This window comes from Homo sapiens, chromosome 22 (genome assembly GCF_000001405.40).
Source record: "Homo sapiens chromosome 22, GRCh38.p14 Primary Assembly".
Taxonomy (NCBI): domain Eukaryota; kingdom Metazoa; phylum Chordata; class Mammalia; order Primates; family Hominidae; genus Homo; species Homo sapiens.
Window position 1 is genome coordinate 30,546,934 of NC_000022.11, and position 6,461 is coordinate 30,553,394.

The window sequence follows — 6,461 nt, forward strand, 5'->3', positions numbered from 1 at the left end:
TGTTGAAATTGACACCACCTGATTTCACACACACACGGAGGCGGCTGTTCACCCTGCCTCTCAGTCCCCTACCCTCTACTCCTGTGGTCCCATCGGATGCCTCTTTGAGCCAGGAGAAGTCATCTCTCACCCCCAACAGAGGCCCGGAAGTCACTGTCATCATGCCTTCACTCTCATCCCAGGCTTCATCTACCACCTGACATGTCCAGAGCAACTGCCCATGATTCATCCCAGATGTTAAGGCACATGGCTTCAGGGTTGAGGATGAAACTTCCCAGGCCCAGACCCAAACAGGTGGATTTGCAATCCTGAGCTGGGCCACACTTGGCCTGGGAGCCAGGATGAGAGGTGAGGAGGGACTCCTGGCTACATCTGCCCCCACCACCCACTGGACAAGCAGAAAGCCAGAGCCCAAGGTGAGGACACATGAGATCACGCGGTGTGCACGGGGCCTGGAACACAGTAGTTATTTGTAGTAGTCTGGGTTGCCCTGAAACAAGGAGTTCAGGGCAAGTTTATTAGGGAGGTGTCCTGAGAAACACAAGTAGGGAAGTGTGGAAATGAGACAGAGAACGGAAGGCAGCTGTATAGGCCTGGTTATCAAGGAAGTACAGAAGAGCTCAATCCCAGTGGGGACTTCTGGGAGACAGCAGGGAACCTGCCCATCAGCGTTTCCTTGCCTGAGTGGGGAGGGAGCTGGGGTATTTATGCAGCATCTCGGGACAGTCTTCAGTTGAGGGCTGCTCCAGGGGCTGTCAATTCTGCTGGCACTGCTGGCCTGCTGTGCACACAATTCAGAAGGCTGGAGAGCGTACTTAGGCAGAGAAACACAGGTGCTGCTGCTGGGGAGTAGTGAGGCTGAGGTGATACAGGCAGAACATCACCAGCTTTAGCTCTAATCAGAAACCGTTTGCTGGGCTCCATGTCAAGTTCTAGTCCAAAGGCTTCATGTGCTCCTTGAGCCCCAGACTGTTCTTCCCTACCTGACAGAGCCTGGAAGAGGGAAGCAGCATGCCTGGGGCCATACAGCCATGTAGTAAGTGACAATCAGGACTATCTGGACCTGGTGCTTACTCAGGACATTGTATCCCACATGCCTGGCTCCTGCCAGAGGCATGCACATAGGTGGCCTTACTAAGTCCCAGGAGAGTCCCCCTTAGCCCTGGAAGAGGGCAATGAGCAGATCTGCCTCTTCTACAGGGTGGGGCCTCCCCAGTACCCCACACACTGCAGGCTGGAGCTTGAGCCATAAGGGGTAAAATCAGGAACTCTCCCCTACTCTTGTCTCCTCCCACTGGGTCCCTGCTCCCAGCACCTCTGGCCCATCTTCTTCTTCTTCTTCCTTATTTTTATGTATTTATTTTTTGAGACAGAGTCTTCTTGCTCTGTGGCCCAGGCTGGAGGGCAGTGGCTCACTGCAACCTCCTCCTCCCAGGTTCAAGCAATTCTCCTGTCTCAGCCTCCCGAGTATCTGGGATTACAGGCGCACGCCACCACACATGGTTAATTTTTGTATTTTTAGTAGAGACAGGGTTTCACCTTGTTGGCCAGGCTGGTCTTGAACTCTCGACCTCAAGAGATCTGCCCACCTTAGCCTCCCAAAGTGCTGGGATTACAGGAGTGAGCCATCGCACCCAGCCTTGGCCCATCTTCTTCAAGCTGGCTTCTGAGTAAGTCCCTCCTCTGCTCCAAAGCCTCCCTGGGCTCCTTGTTACCCTCAGTTAAAAACTGTAGATGCCTTCGCCTAGACTCAAGGCCCTTTTGGGTCCCTCCTGAGCTAATTTCCCCTTCCTTTCTCCCTTATCCCAGGTCCCTTGCCTCCTCTCCATTCTCTTTCCAGCTTTTTCTTTTGCTGTTCCCTCTTCCTGGAATGCCTTTCTTGCAACACCCTGTATTCAGCCTCTGCCTCCCACAAGGCCTACTTCAAATGCCTTCTCTTTGGCAATGTCCTTTCTGATGTGTTTTTTGTTGTTGTTGTTGTTGCTGGGAAGCAAATCCCCAGCCCCCTAAAATCCCACACCCCACTGTCGTCTTCTATCCTTCCAGCAATTGTGATATGTCACAGGTCTCCCTCTTGGGCTCCTTGAGGGTCTGGTTCATTATGGTACACTCCCACTCCAGCACCCACTGTGGTGCATTGTACACAGTAGGTGCTCAATAAAAGCTCACCACGCCTGTAACCCCAGCACTTTGGGAGGTCGTGGGCGGATCACCTGAGGTCGGGAGTTCGAGACCAGCCTGGCCAAACGGTGAAACCCCGTCTCCACCAAAAATACAAAAATTAGCCAGGCGTGGTGGTGCACACCTGTAATCTAAGCTACTCAGGAGGCTGAAGGAGAAGTGCTTTAACTCAAGAGGTGGAGGTTGCAGTGAGCTGAGGTCGTGCCATTGCACTCCAGCCTGAGCGACAGAACGAGACTCTGTCTAAAAAAAAAAAAAAAAAAGATTCACCAAAGGTAGTCTGGCAATGGAAGCTGGGATGCCCCAGAGCAAGCATCACCCAGGATCCCTGACTCTACCTGTCACTGTCAAAACTACCTGGTCTGTGCCCCATTCCAGTGTCACACGGGTTTTCACCCACTGAACTCATTCCAGTGCACGTCTGCATTGGGTAATGTGCTGTCTTTGCCAGGGAAATGGGGCCCCTGTCAGTTACAAATAGGCTCTGGAAGGCCCTCCGCCCTCTCTCCTTCTCCCTTCCCCCCTTCATGTCCCCCCTCCTTCTTGTCTTCCTTCCTTTCTATTTTTAATCTTGTGTTCCTCTGTCTTTCAACATTTATTAAAAGCCTACTGTGTGCCAGGCACTGGCCTAGCCCTGGAGGCCAATTGTGCCAATGCGTCCTGGTCCCTGTCCCAGAGGAGCCCACTCCAGGGGGCTCGCAAATCAGCAGTTGCATCCTGAGTGGGCAGAGCCCAGATGGGGAAAGAAAGAGAAAAAGAAATAAAAGAAAGGGCGAGTCTGCTGGAGAGAGGCCAGGTGGGGATCCAGGCAAGGTGGAGAGGCTGGACCTAGCGCAGAGGTGGGGCGTAGAGAGTCTGTTAATTTCCTGGGGCTGTCATAACAAAGTGCCACAAACTGCTGGGTGGCTTAAAACAACGGGAAATGTATCCTTTCACAGGTCTGGAGGCCGGATGTCTGAAATCAAGGGATTGGCGGAGCTGGGTTTCCTCTGAGACTGGGTAGAACCTTGCCTTGCCTCTTCCTAGCTTCTGGTGGTGGCCTGAAACCTTGATGCTCCTTGACTTGCAGTCGCTTCACTCTAATCCCCGCCTGTTGTGACATAGCATTCCCCTTGTGCATCTGTCCTCACGTGGCGTTTCCACTTCTTTGCTGTTTGTTTGTTTTTTTGAGCCAGAGTCTCACTCTGTCACCCAGGCTGGAGTGCAATGGCACAATCTTGGCTCACTGCAACTTCCGCCTCCCAGATTCAAGTGATTCTCGTGCCTCAGCCTCCCGAGAAGCTGGGACTACAGGTGTGTGCCACCACGCCTGGCTAATTTTTGTATTTTTTAGTAGAGATGGGGTTTTGCCATGTTGGCCAACCTGGTCTCAAATTCCTGATCTCAAGTGATCTGCCCGCTTTGGGCTCCCAAAGTGCTGGGATTACAGGTGTGAGCCACTGCACCTGTCCCATTTCCACTTATAAAGCCACCAGCCAGATTGGATTAGGGCCCACTGAATGACATTATTTTAACTTGATTACATCTGCAAATATCCTTTTTTTTTTTTTTTTTTTTTGTTAAGAGACAAAGGCTCTGTTGCCCAGGTTGGAGTGCAGTGGTGTGATCCTGGCTCACCACAGCCTCAAACTCCTGGGCTCAAGCAACCCTCCCACCTCAGCCTCCAGAGTAGCTGGGACTACAGGTGTGTGCCACCATGCCTGGCTAGTTTTATTTTGTATTTTTTTGTAGAGAATTGGTGGGGGGTGGTCTCACTGTATTTCCCAGGCTGGTCTCAAACTCCTGGCCTCATGTGATGTATTTTCAAATAAAGTCACGTTCACAGGAACAGGGGGTGAGGACTTCATCATATCTTTTTGAGGGATACAGTTCAACCCACAACAGAGGAACAGATGGTTCCACTGACTTTCTCACAGGGGACAGCCCTGACCGCTGTTCTGGCTTTCACACATCAGGTCAGCGGATACCAACCCAGCCACGAGTCAGGGCTGACGGCAAAGCCCTTTGTAGACCCCATACTTTTTCAGGGTGGACTGTCCATCAGTCCTGAGGCTGAGGTGGCCAACTTGGAATGGTGCTGCAGGTCTGGAGCCCTGGAGCCCCGGCCTTGGTGTCAGACCTGCCTGGGTATGCATCCTGCCTCAGTGGCTGCCTTGCTCTGTGACCCTGGCAGAGGCTGGTTGCACAGCTTCTTTGCATCTCAGTCACTTCCTTGGGGGAGCAAAAGGGATCGCCCATGTTTCCACATTGCACAGGGCTGGACGTAGGGCTCAGTACCCCATGATCACTTATTAAAATATAAATTATGTTGGCTGGGTGCAGTGGCTCACACCTGTAATCTCAGCACTTTGGGAGGTTAAGGCGGGTGGATCACTTGAGGCCAGGAGTTTGAGACCAGCCTGCCCAACATAGCGAAACTCCATCTCTACTAAAAATACAAAAATTAGCCTGGTGTGGTGGCTCATGCCTGCAATCCCAGCTACTCAGGAGGCTGAGGCAGGAGAATCGCTTGAACCCAGCAGGCTGAGGTTGCAGTGAGCTGAGATTGCAACACTGCACTCCAGCCTGGATGACAGAGCGAGACTCCATCTAAAAAATAAATATATAAAACAAATAAAAATAAAATATAAATGTTAATAAAAGAGTTAATAACTATAATAATGCCATTAGAACAAACCAGGTGGATTGTAAATTCCAATGCAGTAATTTATATTCCTGACACTGCTGTCTGACAGATTTGTTCTCCTTGGATCCTTAAGGGCCTCAAAATACTGGTAACAATAATAAAAATAAATCATGCAATAGGCTGGGTGGAGTGGCTTGTGCTTGTAACCCAGCACTTTGGGAGGCCGAGACAGGAGGATTGTGTGAAGCCAGGAGTTTGAGATCAGCCTGGGCAACATAGCAAGACCCCATTTCTACAAAAAGCAAAAAATTAGCCAATTGTGGTGGCGAGTGCCTGTAGTCCTAGCTACCTGGGAGGCTGAGGCAGGAGGATCACTTGAGCCCAAGAGTTTGAGGCTGCAGTGAGCCGAGATCATGCCACTGCACTCCAGTCTGAGCAACAGAATGAGACTCTATCTCAAAATAAATAAATAAATAAATAATATTATTACTGGCATTTCTAGGCCTTTAGGGGCCCCAGGAGATATGATTAGTATGGAATTCCTTAAACTCGGAATATTATATTGCACACTAAGTTACATGTATCATTGATTAATAAAAGTGAGGAAGGCCAGGCATGGTGGCTCACACATGTAATCCCAACACTCTGGGAGGGTGAGGCAGAAGGAATGCTTGAGGCCAGGAGTTGGAGACCACTCTTCTCTATAACAAAACCAAAGGTGGGAGCAATTATCTCATGAATTTGGGATCAGTAACATCTTTTCCTATGAATAGTCTCAGCTACTGTCAGTGGTTTTTTTTCCCTTATTTCTCTCCATATGAATTAAAGGTCTCATGCGTGTGCTGCAAACAATATTATTTCTTGCCACAAAGAACATTATGAAAGTGCCGGCAGTGGCTCTAAGGGATTGGTGGGGTCAAACCTCTCTCAGGGTGATGGACTGTCCTGATTGCCTGGGACAGAGGGGTTTCCTCGAAAATAGGAGTTTCAATGCTAAAACCAGGATAGTTCCAGAAAACTGGGACGGTTGGTCACCCTAACTCCTCCTCACTCTACTCAGGCCAGAAGTTCACTCCTAGGAGGCAATAACCCAAGCCCAGTGAGAGGTTAATAGCTGACTGGTATGGGTTTGAATTCTGACTCTGGCACTAATTTGCTGTGTGACTTTGGGTAAGTCACTTAACCTCTCTGAGTTTTAGTCTAAAAGCTGGGAGGCTGAATATATTTGGATAAGGTATGCAAGCACTTGGCCTGGAACCTGACACAGGTCTCAAATAAAGAGTCTAAAATAAAGAGTCTCAAATAAATAGGTCTCAAATAAAGAGTCACTTGAAGCCAGGCATAGTGGCATTCTCCTCCAGCTACTCAGGGGAGGCTGAGGCAGGAGGATCGCTTGAGCCCAGGAGTTTAAGACCAATCTGGACAACATAGTGAGATCCTGTCTCAAAAAAAAAAATTAAAAAGAGTCACCTGACTTTGGTTTCTGCCATTCAGGCCTGGATGCCAGCTCCTAGCTGGAAGACTGAAAGTCCTGTGCCCCAGGACTTTCTCTCCCACTGGGGATGCTGAATGAGGCCAGTGGTTAGAGCTGGGTGTGTCCACATCCTAGTCAGTCACACCCAGCCTGCATTGGTTTCTTGGTGGCCATCTTCCC